This window comes from Homo sapiens, chromosome 8 (assembly GCF_000001405.40).
Source record: "Homo sapiens chromosome 8, GRCh38.p14 Primary Assembly".
Lineage (NCBI taxonomy): Eukaryota > Metazoa > Chordata > Mammalia > Primates > Hominidae > Homo > Homo sapiens.
The window spans coordinates 124,568,607-124,584,768 of NC_000008.11; the positions used below are offsets into that span (position 1 = coordinate 124,568,607).

General features: G+C 44.6%; 1 protein-coding gene and 1 long non-coding RNA gene across 35 annotated transcripts in view; one reads left to right on the forward strand and one right to left on the reverse strand.

Annotated features, from left to right (window-relative positions):
- Nucleotides 1-16,162, reverse strand: part of MTSS1 (MTSS I-BAR domain containing 1) — a 177,690-nt gene that overhangs the window by 17,823 nt on the left and 143,705 nt on the right. For 17 of the 34 annotated variants that reach the window (XM_047422492.1, XM_006716704.3, XM_006716700.3 and 14 more), the window contains one exon: nt 11,945-11,956. The exons of the other annotated variants lie outside the window; for them this stretch is intronic. In XM_047422492.1, the coding sequence (XP_047278448.1) occupies nt 11,945-11,956 (12 nt within the window). The remainder of the gene's footprint in view (nt 1-11,944; nt 11,957-16,162) is intronic. 34 annotated transcript variants of the gene reach the window in all.
- LOC105375740 (uncharacterized) lies at nt 277-12,045 on the forward strand. The gene is made up of 2 exons (XR_928608.3): nt 277-308; nt 10,972-12,045. It is a non-coding gene; the product is annotated as an uncharacterized LOC105375740 (long non-coding RNA).

A 16,162-nucleotide genomic window follows, 5' to 3' on the forward strand; every position in this document is an offset into this window, starting at 1 on the left:
GGGGTCCTTGCTGGAGTCAAAACCACAATTTTCCAGGATGTAAAAAAAGTATTTATTCATGCCCCAAAAGGATTTAAGGCAGCTGTTTTTCTAGGACCAGCCATTTCCAATTTTCAATGCCCAAAGGGCACATTTAGCCTGGCTTATTCCTGACAAGGAAAATGTCCTGGGGCAACTCTTCATGACTTGCCTTCTCACACTGCACAACCCCCACCAACTCTTCTGCCAACACAACCCTGGAACACAGAGCCAGACAGCATTCTTTCCTTGCAGAACATTCTGAAGAGGCTAAGAGATGTGGAAACAAGGTAAGAGCCTGTGGGTGTTTCCAAAAACGGGCACGGGCTGGCTTTGTTGGGTCAATCTCAATCAAAGAGCCTCTGTCTGGATAGAAGGATCTGCTCCTAAAGACAAAGGTGGCAAGCATCCGCTCTCCTGGCTCTGGGGGCCCATGGGAATCCTTGGCAGTTCCTTTGACTCTCTAGTGGAGAGTCTTGAATGCTCTTGCTGTAGAACAAGCCCAGTAATAACAAGACCTCCAGACAGGTCTCTGATGATGAAAAACTGAAAGTGGGGTCTATGCGGAGCCTGGCCCATGTTTAGGAATTATCTGGCCAGGTCCACAGACCCCAGTTAGGTGCAGGCAACCACTTCTGGAGTTTAAGACAGGGTGTTAGTCTTTTGAATGACTAACACATGGTCAGCAAACCATCTTTGCAAATAAAGTTTTATTAGAACACAGCCAAATCCATTTATTTACCATATTGCCTGTACCAGTTCTCCCTACAATGGCAGAGTAGTGTGACACAGAGTATGGCCCCCAGACCATGGCCTCTTGCAAAAGAAGCCTGCTGCCCTAAAAGATAAACATGGACCAAGAGGCACTGTGTCCAAAGGAGCAGCTACTACAAATCTGATCTGTAGGTGGGGACAGCAGGGTGACAGCAGGGGACACCAGCTCATGAGCTTCCACCTTGGGCTGCCTATGCAGGGGCCTTACCTATCACTCAAACCAGAGAGATACTTCCTAAACTTCTTCAGGGCAGGATTTTGGTCTTTCCCAGCACAGCCCCTAGTACAATGTCATGTGTGTATACAGCAGGTGCTTGATAAATGTCTGTTTAATAGTTTCAACACAAAATGTTAGAGCTGGAAGGGGTTATCCAATTGGGCCAATCTGCTCATGTTTCAATGGAGACCAAGTCCTAGAGAAGTCAAGGGACTCACCTAAGGTCACAGAAAGAATGGTACAGAGGCAGGGTTGAGCCACACTGCCTAATTCCCTTAACACTGAACCTATTCTCTGCCCCACCGCCTCGCAGGAAGGGCCCTGCAGTTTCCATCTATCCCTCTTAGTGATGTAGAGAACATTAAATGCAATGAACCATTTGGTCTGAAGAAAGAAAGGGTCAGGGAAAATTGCCTTGGATGTAGGAACATATTCTGTATTTTTCACTCATAAGCAGAGGAGAAAGTTTAATTTGGAGCAAGAGGCAATCAGGCTTAAAGCACATCCCAATAGAAAAGGTAGTCAGATTTTAGTAAGGAAAAGTCACTTCTCAGACAGGGAATAAGTTCTAAGTTAGCACATTATGAGAAAATTATAGTCAAAGATCACCCTTGAAAATGCCTTAGATGGCCAGTAAATACAGTATGGACAGCTTTGTGTATATAACTCTCATCAGTCAAGTGAGTACAAATGTGTAGATAGTATGTATCTAAGTCCACGGAGGGGTGCTACCCAACGATTATACTACACTGGCCCCTCCTCTGTGGTTTTGCTTTCCAAAGTTTCAGCTACCCATGGTGTGGTAAAATACGGTATTTTGAAAGAGAGAAAGAGACTACATTCGCATGACTTTTATTACAGTATATTGTTATAATTGTTCTATTATTATTGTTGTTAATCTCTTACTGTGCCTAAATTATGTATTAAACTTTACCATAGACATGTATGCATGGGAAAAACCACAGTATATGTAAGGTTCGGGTACTATCTGCAGTTTTAGGCATCCACGGGGGGTCTTGGAACATATCCCCTGAGGAGAAGGGGGAACTACTATATATAAGAAATTTGCTGCTTGAGAAGTCTCTGCATAATTTTCTCCTTTTTGGAGACAGAGTCTTGCTCTGTCACTCAGGCTGGAGTGCAGTGGAATGATCATAGCTCATTGCAGCCTCAGCCTCTTAAGCAGCTGGGACTACCAGCGTGCACCACCATGCCCAGCTAGTTTTTCAATTTTTTTTTATAAAGATTGGGTCTTGCTTTATTGGCCAGACGGTCTTGAACTCCTGGCCTCAAGTGATCCTCCCACCTCAGCCTCCCAAAGTGCTGGGATTACAGACATGAGCCACAGCGCCTGGGTGTTTCAGCATATTTTCAAGGTGACCCACTCACCCATTCTTCCATGTAGTCACTACCTCCACCCCTCAGAATAATTCTTTACCATGCCTTCAATTTCTTCCTCAAGGATGTAGGAGTAATCATCACCATACATTAATCTGGCCACCTGAGCCACTGGTTTCATGTGTTTTTAGTAGACAAGAAACCTGTAAAAACATTCTCCCATTCTCTCCTGGAATCTGCCTCAGGGCAGGTGCTCTGTTCACAGAGACCCACCACCTGTGGCCAACGGCTTACAGAGGGAAGGCTGGGTGCCACCAGCACTATGAAAACTGTGAGTTTTCTCTTCTATTTTAAAATGCTGGCTAGTGCAAAATTAATCCAGATATACTTAATGTGTGTATGATACGAGTCCACCAGCAGGGAAGCTCTGGAAAGCTGTAAACCCTTGCTTTTCCTCTGCAAGCAGCCAAACAGCATGGCCAATTGTGGGCCTTGTTGGGTCACATGACTCAGGGCTGGTCTAGAGGGCTACTTCTAGTCTCTCGATCTATTCTATGATGTTCTAATAACAAAACACAGAGGGCTGCAGACCACCTCAGAATGTTCTCAACTCTCGTGTAGGATGGTGAACAGAAGTCGGGAGACACCAGATTGAGACACATTGTGTTTGACCAAACTTGCTCGGTGGGCTTTGATTATGGTAGCAATTTAAAAAAATAACAGCCTATGAGGCCGGGAACGGTGGCTCATGCTTCTAATCCCAGCACTTTGGGAGGCCGCGGCGGGCGGATCATGAGGTCAGGAGTTCAAGACCAGCCTGGCCAATATGGTGAAACCCCGTCTCTACTAAAAGTACAAAAATTAGCTGGGTGTGGTGGCACACGCCTGTAGTCCCAGCCACTGGGGAGGCTGAGGCAGAAGAATTGCTTGAACCTGGGAGGGGGAGGTTGCAGTGAGCTGAGATCATGCCACTGCACTCCAGCCTGGGCGACAGAGCAAGACTCCATCTAAAATAAATAAATAGATAAAATAAAATTAAAAAATAACAGCCTGTGATTGTCAGAAATTGGAAAAATGTATCTTTACTTCCTTTCACAAGTTATAAGGCACATGTCTATCCATAATTAATAATGCTGACTTTAAAAACTGTATCTACATAGGAAAGAAAAAAAGGCCACTGAACCCAGTGTTATCTAATTTGGAAAATATAAATTTAAGTTATCCTATGATTATAGCAAAGTTATTTTAAATGTGTATTATAATTAAAGGACTCTCAAATTGTAGCATTCTAAAATAAGTATACTCTGTAAAGATTGCTATAATTATAGTCAAGACATTTCCATTCAGGATAGATGATAAGCTAAAACTACAATGTTTATTTATTAAATTCACTAATACAACATGTAATTATATTTATAAAAAAAAACTGTGAAAGAAATTATTTCATGTCCCAGTTGGATATACTGGTTTTAAGATAGAGTGATCTTTTGAGGTCCACAAATTCAGAGAGTTGTGTTGGTACTGATTTAATATATACAAAAGCCCATTCTCTTCACTCCCATCGGCAGTGTTAGGAGAGTCACCACTGACTCCTTGAGCGCTGGTCCTGGCTATTCCAGCTCCCACGGACTTGACTCCATCCTCGTCTCACCTCTGCTACCTCTACCCTCACTGGGCCATCACGATCTCTCACCTGAACAGATGCCAACAGCCCCTAATGTCTCACCCCAGACTGCACTTGGACTAGCTCGCCCAGAGCAGCCCTGGGCTACTTTCTTTCTTTTCTTTTCTTTTTTTTTTTTTTTTTGAGACAGAGTCTCGCTCTGTTGCCCAGGCTGGATGGAGTGCAGTGGCGTGATCTCAGCTCACTGCAACCTCCGCCTGCCAGGTTCAAGAGATTCTCTTGCCTTAGCCACCCAAGTAGCTGGGATTACAGGCATGTACCACCATGCCCAGCTAATTTTTGTATTTTTAGTAGAGACAGGATTTCACCATGTTGGCCAGGCTGGTCTTGAACCCCTGACCTCAAGTGATCCACCTGCCTCGGCCTCCCAAAGTGCTGGGATTACAGGCATGAGCCACCACACCCGGCTGTGGATTACTTTCAAAATGCAAATATTCTCACTGCTTTTCAACAGCTCCCATTGCTCGCAAGAAAAGAACAATATCCTTAACATGGCCTGCCCTGCAAGGCATGAAAGGTCATTGCCTGTCTACCTCATAGCCTCAGCCTTTGTGGGCCATTCTCTCCCTCTCTCCTCTCCCTCTCATCCTCCAGGGCCTGGGCCCCTTCCCATCTTCACTCTGCTGTCCCTCTGCTACATTCCTAACACCTTTTATCCTACAGGTCTCGCTTAATTCTCGATCCTTCAGGGAATCCTGCTGTGAACTTTCTCCCCAGATTAGGCTTCTCTTACTTGATCTCTGAAATCCCTTATACTTATTCACAGCACTACCCCCGGTTTGAATTTCATCTTTATTTCTCTAGTTATTTGATTGACGTCAGTCTCCCCTAGTCAGGGGGCAGTCCCACGGGGGCAGAACCCATGAATGCTTTTGCTCAGTACTGTATCTCCTCAGTCAGCACACTTGCCTGGAAGGCGGCAGGTGTTCAAATATTTGTAAATGAATCAAGCATTGATACAACGTGACCAAGTTTGCTCACTGGCCTCAACCATCATTCCCTTAAATGGCCTAATACTTCAGAACCACCCAATTCCAGGACCATCAAGCAGCCAAGAGGAGGAGGGAGGGGGTGCCTTCGATGGGCTTCCCAGACAAAATTCTTGAGCAAAGAATTGCTTTCGGCTTTCTTCTGTAATATCTTAGGCATCTTCAGTCTTGAGTTTTGTTTTTTTCCTGGTGCTAGTTTCCAGGTCTTGTGTATTCACGCTGGGGAATTCTGATGAACAGCAGCCAGGAGCCCCTTATCCCCCCACCCCAGGGGATATCATGATGATTCTCTTTGCAGAAAATGTTCCTGGGGCAAAGCATTGTGAATGCACCATGTCATGGGCCAAGGCAGCACCCCTAAAGAAGGAAGGAATTTTTTTTTTTGAGACAGAGTCTCGCTCTGTTGCCTAGGCTGGAGTGCAGCGGCACAATCTCAGCTCACTGAAACCTCTGCCTCCTGGGTTCAAGACAGTATGTCCGACTAATTTTTGTATTTTTTGTAGAGACAGGGTTTTACTATGTTGGCCAGGCTGGTCTCGAACTCCTGACCTTAAGTGATCTGCCTGCCTCGGCCTCCCAAACTGCTGGGATCACAGTGTGAGCCACCACACCCGGCCACAGAAGGAAGGAATTTTTAAATGAGGAAACTTTACAGAGTTTTCTGGAATGAAATAAAGATCCTGTATCAACTTCAACACTTGCATTTTATTTTCCTTAATCATTATTACATAACACATTCAAGGCAGGAATGAATATCCGTTTTGATAGATGGGGAAACTGAGACTGAGGGAGGCAAAGTGGTCTGCACAGGGCCACAATCATGAGCACTAAGCCAGCCACGGGCACAGCTAGAATCCAGCCCCAAGTCTTTCTCGTTCTGAAGACGAGGTTCTTTGTGTTTCCTACTCACAGCAAACATGAATGCTGGGAACAAGCTGCCAGGAGCTAAACAGCCGATCAAAAAGCCAGTGAAATGTGATTCGTATTATCTGTACTGGCCCAGCCTCTTCAGACACAAGCTGCACTCACATGGTAAGCTTCCTGGCTCAACAAGCCAGTGGCTGTTCTCTGGCAAAGGGCTCTCCAACGGGGAAGAGCAAACCCAGAATACATTGGGCCAAGAATGCTGCCAGGAGTCAGCAAAACACCCCAAGTCCTTTCTTTCTTCGGAGAGAGGTGTATGGAGAAGCCATTAGAATCCTGCAAAATGACTTTCACCTGCCCCTGACTCACACAAATTCATTCTAAGATATTTCATTCTAAGAGAGCCACTTTCCCCCATTTTTACACCTCACCAATCAGGGTGTGTCTTACAATCAATGGTGTGTCACAGTTTAATCGGTAGGTTTTTTTTTTCCTTTCTTAGTGGTCTGGAAAATAATGGTGCATCTGACAATTGCTTGTATCCCAGAGTCAAATGAAACATGGGATATAAATACTAAAATACAAAATATAAATCCAGAAATGGACATGCAAGGTGACACTGGAGATTAGAATTTGGAATGAAAAATTCTGTCTTCCCAGCAAAAGGAGGCTATCCTCATTATCCCTTTATAAGTCATCTTCTACTCTTAATAACCCACAGTGGGTTTTGACTGATTCCCAAAAGAAAAATCCAACCCGAAATCAAAAGATAGATGTGATTAGATAAGACTGAAGGCTTTTAGCCTTAAAATTTTTCAAACAAACTCAATTTCCGTTATTTTTCAACCTACTGTGCCCCAGTTTCCCTTTACCTGTGGGATGTAAATAATAACAGTATTGAGCTCACAGGGCTGCTGGAAGGGGAAATGAACTAATCCACATGAAGCATTCAGAACAACGCCCGGCACGTGCTGAGCACTCACTAAATGTCAGGCACTATCAGCTGCCACCACAGCATCTCTGAAGTTGTCCTTCTGACACTGGGTAGTTTAGCAGGTGATAGTATGCAGGGTAGGGTGGGTTTTTTGTTGTTGTTGTTTGTTTGTTTGTTTTTTAAAGAGAGCTTTCAGTTCAAGGTCGTTTTTGATGTAAGAAAATGCAAAAGATCCCATGATTCTTTCACTACAAGTAGGAGTTTTATCATCAAGATTCTTCACTGGTCCCTGGGCAATCAGTTGTTTATCAAAGCAAAGGATAAAAAGAGACATTTCAGAGAACAACTAGAAAACGTCCCAGGCCAACCTGCAGCTCACCATCCAGAGTGTCTCCAACAGAGCATCCTCACGGCTCCAAAATGCTTCTTCCTTGGTGGTTAAAGAAATACTCCACCATCTGCCAACCTGACTACCGGATCCAGAAATTTACCATTGCCTTCAACTCTTCCTTCTTTCATTTGCATTTCTCCTAAGTAGCTCTTGAATCCACCTGTCTTCCTCTCTATCTCTGTGGTCACTTCCCTGAGCCCAGGCCACCATCATCTGTCACCTAGACAACAACCACCACTTGCTAACTGGATGTCCAGTTAAGCCACAGTCTAATCCAAATACACACTGTCACGGTGGAATTATCTAGAAGCCAAAAAGGCTTCAAGGGCTTCAGCAGAGTCCTTTAATGTAGTAAACAAGGCTACAATCTGCATTCTTTATAAGAAGCCAGTCATTGTAAATATGGTGCTTTCCTGTGTTCTGCAAGTCCTTCTAGAGAATTATTAAACTTGATGGGCGAGGGGGTCATAGAAAACCCCAAATTTGTGGTCGGCTGGGCAGAAGTGTGAGGAATCTGAGGACCCCACTTGTGGCTGGTGACTGAATTTGGGGCAGTCTCATGGGACTGAACTCTTAGCTTGTGGGGTCTACACTAACACTAGGTGTGTCATAACTGAATAGGACAGCAGCTGCAGTCAGAGAATTGATGTTGGAACATAAATGCATTCTTCGTGCTGGGGAGAGCTTGAGTGTAGATGCTACTTTTACCTCCTTAGCAGCTAACAGAGTCTAGCACAGAGGAGGCTTGTCATACCCCTTTCCTGAATGAATGAATGAAAGAACAAACTAATAAATGGAGGCTGGAGTGTTTTGCAGGACTCATCTGCAGCAGTCAAGGATGTTTATGAATGGAAGAATGGCACCAGGCGTGAATCAATTAGTCCTACAAAAACCATAAATGGCTGATGGGTTGCAACTCAAGAGAGGCAGCAACTGCTTCCCCACCCTGCCATTCCGTCAGGCTTTGCCCATCCCGTTAGTGTTCTCTAGGGAGATGAAAACCATATTATGCAAGGAATAAATATTTCAAGCAAGTTGTCTGTTTCCTTCTCTGCTGTTTTGTATTTGGTCGAAAATTAACGCTAAGAAAAATACTCAGCTCCCGGCGTGCCTCCATACTCTATATACCTCTACCCTGCCCCTGAATGCAGCCACAGGGAAGTCAGGTGCACTGCACCTTAACAGTCCTATTGTGTACAGGCACACCCAGGGCATTCTGAGACCAGAGTAGTGGGCAAGGCACTCAAGGAGTTGTGTCTACGTGAGGTTTTACTGGAGACAAGCTTTGCAAAGGAAGAGTTCACAGCTCTAGGCTTCTGGTGGATCTGTTTGGCTTGTGTTTACCTAGAATCCTCAGTTATAAAATACATCTAATAAATAGCCCGGCCTCTGAAGGCTACATACATTCACCTGAAATGCAACATCCCTTTGCAGTAAATTTCTTTTATTTTGGAGACAGGGTCTCACTCTGTCACCCAGACTGGAGTGCAGTGGAGCGATCTCGGCTCACTGCAACCTCTGCCTCCCAGGTTTAAGCGATTCTTCTGCCTCAGCATCCCAAGTCGCTGAGAATGCAGGTGCACGCCACCACACCCAGCTAACTTTTGTATTTTTAGTAGAGATAGGGTTTTGCCATGATGGCCAGGCTGGTCTCAGACTCATGACCTCAAGTGATCCTCCCAAAGTGCTGGGATTACAGGCATGAGCCACTGTGCCCGGCCTTGGAGGAGATTTCTGAGTTAAATTCAGACATCTATGGATTCAGGTCAGGGGCAGCTTTCTGATGGTCACAATAGGTCTAAGGGTAAAATTCTAGCATCCCTGCTTCCACCCAGACAGAAGGGGTCTGGCTGTGCCTACATTCTGTATTTCCTCATCAGCCTTCTAAGCCCTGGGCTTAGCCTCGAAGAACTGGCTGGAACCATCCCACCCTCTGCTCCTTGTTCTTCCTCCTCACTCCACTGACATCCCTGTGGGAAGGAGAGCTCCTAGTACTATCCCTCCTCAAAAATCAATGGGGGTGGGGTTGCAGGGAATCTACACAGATTCAATTTTTACCATAGAGGCAGAGCCATTGATCCATTGACTGCAGGTCTCAGGGTCATTCTGAGAGTGCTTTCTGCTGGTTTTGTAAACACAAGAAACATTCCTGTGGGTGAGTGCATAGGCTGGATACGGCTGGGGGATGAGCAAACCACTGTGCCTAGAGGAAAGGATTCACATTTCACAGGCTTTTTCCAAGAAAGGAAGAATGACGTGGAGAGGCATTTGGGGTCCACTTTGGAGTCTGATCAGAATCGAGGCCCAGTGATTGAACCATTCTGGAGGCAGGTCAGTGTGGGGTGGGGAGACGCGGTCCAGGAAGCCAGAGGCTGAGTAGCCAGGGGTCACTATGGTTCTCTATGCACACAGTCCACCCTTGGTGGGACGACAGCCCTGCCTCAAGGCTGTCCCTGGAGCATCACACACACAGTGTGACACGTCTACCCTTCACCACTGTTGCTGATGCTCCTTTCTAAATGACAAGAGCCATGTGTTGGTGCACGCTGTCCTCTCCACCTTGAATATCCCCTCCTCATTCTTCAACAGCTGACCCCTCATGCTCCTCCTCATTATCACTACCCTACCCCCAGGCTTAGTGAGGCTCCTTCCTCTCTGCCCCCAGGTTACACCTTTTGCTTATATTCATCCCAGCACTGGCTGGCAGGGTGGCTCACACCTGTAATCCCAGCACTTTGGGAGGCCAAGGCAACAGGATCACCCGAGGTCAGGAGTTCAAGACCATCCTGCCTAACATGGCAAAACCCCGTCTCTACTAAAAATAGAAAAATTTGCCGGGTGTGGTGGCAGGCACTTGTAATCCCAGCTACTTGGGAGGCTGAGGCTGGAGAATTGCTTGAACCCAGGAGACGGAGGTTGCAGTGAGCCGAGATCGTGTCACTGATCGTGATGGGGTTTTACCATGTTGGCCAGGCTGGTCTCGAACTCCTGACTTCAGGTGATCTGCCCACCTAGGCCTCCCAAAGTGCTGGGATTACAGGCATGAGCCACCACGCCAACGCGCCCAGCCAAGCCAACTGTTAAAAATAATTAAAGAATTATTTTTTTCTCTCTGTATAAATATTTTAAACATTTATGAGAGCTACAAATCATATAGCTTTTCTTGTGTATTTATACCCAAATTCACTGTGGCTTTGCCTATGAACCAGCCCCTACAAGAGAAAAAATTAAAGGGGGTTGCAGAGATTTCTCTTTGAAAGATAAGCAGAATCTTTAGAACTTACAAAGTCAAAAGGCTATACAGTTTCTTTATTCATTCCAAACTGACCTCCCATCATTTCAAATAAATAAAATGCTCTATTTACTCCATGAACTGACTCATGTCAGGCTCTCGGCAAAGGTTCCAGTAAAACTCAAGACTCAAGGGACTGTGTCCTCAAAAGGCTGTGTACTACATGATTCCATTTGTATAAAATGTCCAGAATAGGCAAATCCAGAGACAGAAGGCAGATGAGTGGTTGTCAGGGTCAGCGTGGGTGGGGAGACTGTGAAACAGGGAGGGACTGCTTAATGGGCATGAGGTGTCTTTCGGGGATAATGAAAATGTTGTGAAATTAGATAGTGGCGATGGTTGCATAACACCATGAATGTACTAAAAGCCACTGAAACTTATACTTCAGAACGGCTAAAATGATAAATTCTGTGATGTGAATTTTACTGCAATAAGCAAAACAGTGACTGTGTCTTACCTTCCTTCCAAAGGTTTACTAGAAACTGTGCAAGCTGTTTCATAATCACAATGTTGAGAACTGGAAAGGATGATCCTTTTTAAAGTTGGGGAACCACTAGCCCAACATCGCCATGAGGGGAAATAGAGGCCGTGTCAGCCCCAACCATCAAAGGAGACCTTTGTGCACTGGGTTTGCTGTAAATGACAGAAGCCACTTCAAAAGCCTCTTTGGAGCTGTTCAGTAAAATGCTCAGGGAACACCTGGGCACACTCAGGCAAGATAAACCACACAGACACCTCGCAGACAGACCTCCCAGGACAGAGGGACAGCAACAAGACTCCAAAAGCAACTTGAAGTTTTGGCAGCATGATCATCCACAGAGTGAAGTTCAACATTCAGTCAAGAAGAATCATTCTGATTACTTAATTGGAAGATCTGATACTTCTGAAATGAAACATTTCACAAACTCTACTGAAATAAGAAATACTTTTGATTTATTTTTTAAAAAATGAATCATTGGTTATGGAAAGAACTATATGGTCTTGCAGACAGGACAAAGTTAAAGATGTTTTGCAAGCTTAACACAACCAAATCTGATTTGAGAATTATTTTGAGGCTTGCAGCTCTGTTTGTGGCATAAATATATACATACATACATACGCAGGTATATATGTATGCAAAAATGCTTATTGACTGTGGAAATGACAGTTTAAGTCACTCTGTATTTCTTTTTTCCATGAGTCTAATATTGAATTACGATGATTCAAAGGCTCTCAGAGTGTTGTGCTAACATCGTAAATGGCTAAACATCCAAAAAAGAAAACAATTAAAACACAACGCACACACAATTTTCTTAAAGTTGTGGAAAATTAGGTAGGCACAGTTGATTGTTTTGAGCTGGTAGAAAAACCTGGGCAGCTAGCAGAGGTCTGGACAACCACGGAAAGCCCACAGCAAGGACCACACCGTGAGCAGCCACCAGAGATTTGGGATGGTAGACTTACCAAGAGTGTCCACTGGCGGGGGGGCACACGGTGAGAAAGTGCAGGATACACAATTGACACAAAAAGGAAAATAATAAAGTCAAACTGGTATTCAAGCAGCAGCAGTCTTACCTTTGTTTCATGTGTTAAACAGTCCATGGCTCGCCACCAAATTTTCTATTAGGGCTGATTAAACCCACATCCACATTCCCCTTCTCTGCCTTACTAATATCTTCCTTCCTTCTCATCTAAACAAAACCTTCCCAGTTAGTAATGACCACCCCTAGAGAAGACAGCAAGGATTTTTAAAAAGAGAGATGAAGAATATATACCCAGAAGAAGCCAAGCTTTGGCAAGAAAACCTTTCGAGTGTCATTTACCATCACTTGAAAAATATCTAGGAAATTCCTAGGAAACAAAGCTTAGGGTGGGATGAAAATGGAAAAAAAAAATTAAAGAGTTTAAAATTGTAGTATAACAGCAAATACTATGCTCGTATAGAACTCTGTGAGTCTGTTTATTACATTTATAACATTGGCTTTGCAGCCTCTAGTGGAAAGTGAGAGAGTCAACTATTTACATGTCAGCTGTGCAGTTAACATATTATAATGTTCCAGTTCTCTCTCTCTCAAGAAAAGTCCCTGCTGGGCGCAGTGGTGTGTGCCTGTAATCCCAGCTACTAGGGAGGCTGAGGCGGGAAGATCCCTGAAGCCCAGGAGTTTGAGGTCAGCCTAGGCCACCTAGTGAGATGCTGACTCAAAAAAAAAAAAAAAAAAAATCAAGACTTCTTAGATTTAATGATGTCATGGTAATAAGTGGAACAGTGACCATAATAAGTACCTAATGAATGCTGGCCATTATTATTTTTAAAAATCCCTTATAAACTTTTTGTAGTTACAGATGGAAACAGAAGGCTTTACCAGAATTTTTTTATTTTTTTTTTTGAGACAGAGTCTCCCTCCGTTGCCCAGGCTGGAGTGCAGTGGTGCAATCTTGGCTCATTGCAACCTCCACCTTCCAGGTTCAAGCAATTCTCCTGCCTCAGCCTCCCGAGTAGCTGGGACTACAGGCGCCCGCCACCACGCCCGGCTAATTTTTGTATTTTTAGTAGAGATGGGGTTTCACCATGTTGGCCAGGATGGTCTCGATTTCTTGACCTCATGATGCACCCGCCTCAGCCTCCCAAAGAGCTGGGATTACAGGCGTGAGCCACCACGCACAGCCCAGAATTAATTTTTAATTCACATTGATAGTAACATGGGAGTTAAATGAGAATAAGGCTGCTGAGTTCATACGGTTGGGTGGCACACGTAGGTAAATACAATGTAAAACGCCTCTCATTTCTGATGCTCTCTCTTACTTTTCCCCATTGGGTCGTGGTCAACTCCAAGACCTCCAAGGCAATAAGCTGATTATCATGGAGCAGGAAGAGGGCTCAAGAGACACTGTTCAGAGCCTGGGGTTACTGGGTCCGCTCCACACCATCTCCCCAGCATCCTGCCGCCTCCGTCCCTCCACCTGTCGGCAATGCTGGCTCTGCCCCGTGCTCTTGACCCTGTGCACGAGCCCAGAATTTCTCTGAGGGTGAGGACTGGCTAACTCCTTGCCTCGTGTTTACTTCTAGTAGGCATCTGACAAGCTTGCCTTCAAGAAAAACAGGCACACTCATCCACAGCCATAGCATATCCCAAGCTGCTAAAAAATGATTTTGAGATAAAACCTACCAAAGGCAAACCATTGAAAGTTTCTTGAAGGAAATATTTAAACACCTTTAGATTACAAACCACCTCTCTATATAGTAAGAAAGAGTCGAAGAATGTGATAAAAGGTGGTATCTGCAGAGTAAGAAGGAAAGTGAGCCGCTCACAAAAATCACATCCGTGTGTGTCTGCCCACGTCAAGGATGGTGGTAAAACCATGCTTACATGCACAAAGGCACTTGAAATGCTAAAAGGAGAGTCCAGAGAATTTTTAGATCAAAGATCAGAGTTTTTGAAAAAGGCATGGCAGGAAGCTGCTTGAGAATCTCCTGGAAACATATTAAAAAGGAAGTGATTATCTGGCTGCATACATCAGATTCCGTCTATCAGGACAAAAAAAAAAATGTATCCAAAACCTTCATCCATCCGAACGCGTGGTGCGTCAGAAGGAACTGCTAACACTTTTACAAACCGAGGGTCCGGGAATCTGCCACTTGAAGGAGATGAAACAGATCCCTCGAGGTGTTCTAGTAGAAAGGGAAATGTCAGCTAACCAGACCCCTAAACAACTGAAAGCCTCAAATGACCAGATTTCTTCCAGCCCTTAAGTGAGTTGTGTTTTCTTCAGTCCATTCTCAGCCATACATATGCCTCCTAGGAGAGCTCTCCATAAAAGATTCCAGTCCGAATGTGACTCTAGTACCTTTCAGAAGGCTGCTTTCATCCCAGAAATATACAAATAGAACACCTGGTCCAAAACTGCACTTACTGATTTTAGAAAAAAATCTTTATAAAGGACAGAAATAAAAATTATTTTCTGGTGGTATCTTGAAGTAACTAGAAATTCTCTAGAACATTCCAAGCTATGGATCTGACCGATCTCGTGGACCTAAGTCCACCGTGTGGAAAAGACACGGTGCCAGAGACTGCTGGTGTGAGGCTGTGGCTGAGAAGACAGATGCTTCAGAAACCCCTGATCCCAACCTCCATTCTCTCATCTGTCAGGCCAATGTGCCCTAAGAAACCACACAACTGAATGCCAATCATTCCCAAGTCCCAGGGCCAGATGCCTCTCTTCATGTTATGCACAGTCCAGCATTCTATGGGTCCCATATCTTCCTATCCAGCCTTGATAGGGAGCTCATTATCCTGCAGGCAGCCCGAGCCAGTGCTAGGAAGGTCTAATTGCCAGAAACTTCTTTTGATGTTGCATTGCAATCACCCTATCAGGCTTCACCCAGAGGTATAAATTCTGCTAATTGGGCAATGCCAGTGACTTTGAGTGACAGAGGACAACCAATTCAGCCTCCATGCAGAACTTAGATAAAAGGATTATCACTGTAGCCAAGAACTTAGGGCCTCTGAAAACTGAGTGGTGGAAGAGCTGAGGGAAAACAGCCACTTTTTCTTCCTTCATCCTTTTCACCAAACTCCCAAACCTTTTCTAAGCCTAAGCATCTTCCCTGGACCACCTCTCCCAGCCCAGGAATCCTTCCTCTCTCAAAGCTGCCAACCTGTCAGTTATGTGGAGTTCAGCCCCGAACTGTGACCAGCCTGCTCTCTTCCGGGCCTCAGACTTCATGGAATATGGTAGTAATTTTACTTATAAATGCTTACCTCTACAGTCACTAAAATGTTACTATGTCACAAACCCTATTACTTGTCAAACACTAGCTCCCAGGTGCCCTGGTTAGATAGGATACAAATCTGAGAAGCTCCAGACTAAAATAAAACATACGAAAGAAACTGCTGGGGCCAATGCTGATGGAAAATCTGATTGTGGGTGAAAATTCTGCTGCCTTTATCTCAAAATGGGTTTATGGTTGTTGTGAAAATTCAGGGTGGGGGGCTCATTTTATAGAAATGTTCAAGGTTAAAAACTGTGTCCTATCATCACCCCACTACACACCACCCTCCACAATCCCATCTCTACAAATGTGTCTTCTATTTCCAACAGAGAACGCTGGTTTAGGGGAGAGAAAATTCAGGCTGGGGGATCCCAACTCGAAAAGGTTGTCTCAAATTAATGGTAAACACCACCCACAGAGCAGCCTGACGGAAGAATCCCATCTTATCAGTTGTGAAGCAGCAGATTCAGAAACTTGGTGTCAAAGAAGAATAGACTGGAAGGAATGTCACCTTCTCTAGCTCAGGAGAAAGTCCCTACATTTTTAGGTGGTAGTAAAATGTCACAAGTGCTTGCAAAGTGGATGCTGCTAGATTTTTCTCTTCAAACTCCCAGTCCATTCTGGAGGAACAAAGGTGGGTCAAAGATCTGACGATTCATTTGTTTGTGAAGGAGGATAAACAAGGATGTGGGGGAAAGGCATCTTGCCTGGTTGTGCTCAGTGGTAGATTATCAAGCTCCTCCCTCATGAACACCATGGAAAATCCCCTGTATGGCCATGACTCCCAGCTTCCCCTGCACCCATTCCTAGCATTCTCACAAGACTTAATAAAGGGTTTTGAAGATTATAGGCTGTGAAAGCTGCAGGAGAAAATGACATAATTTCTGTAATAATTACTAGAGAACATTTGC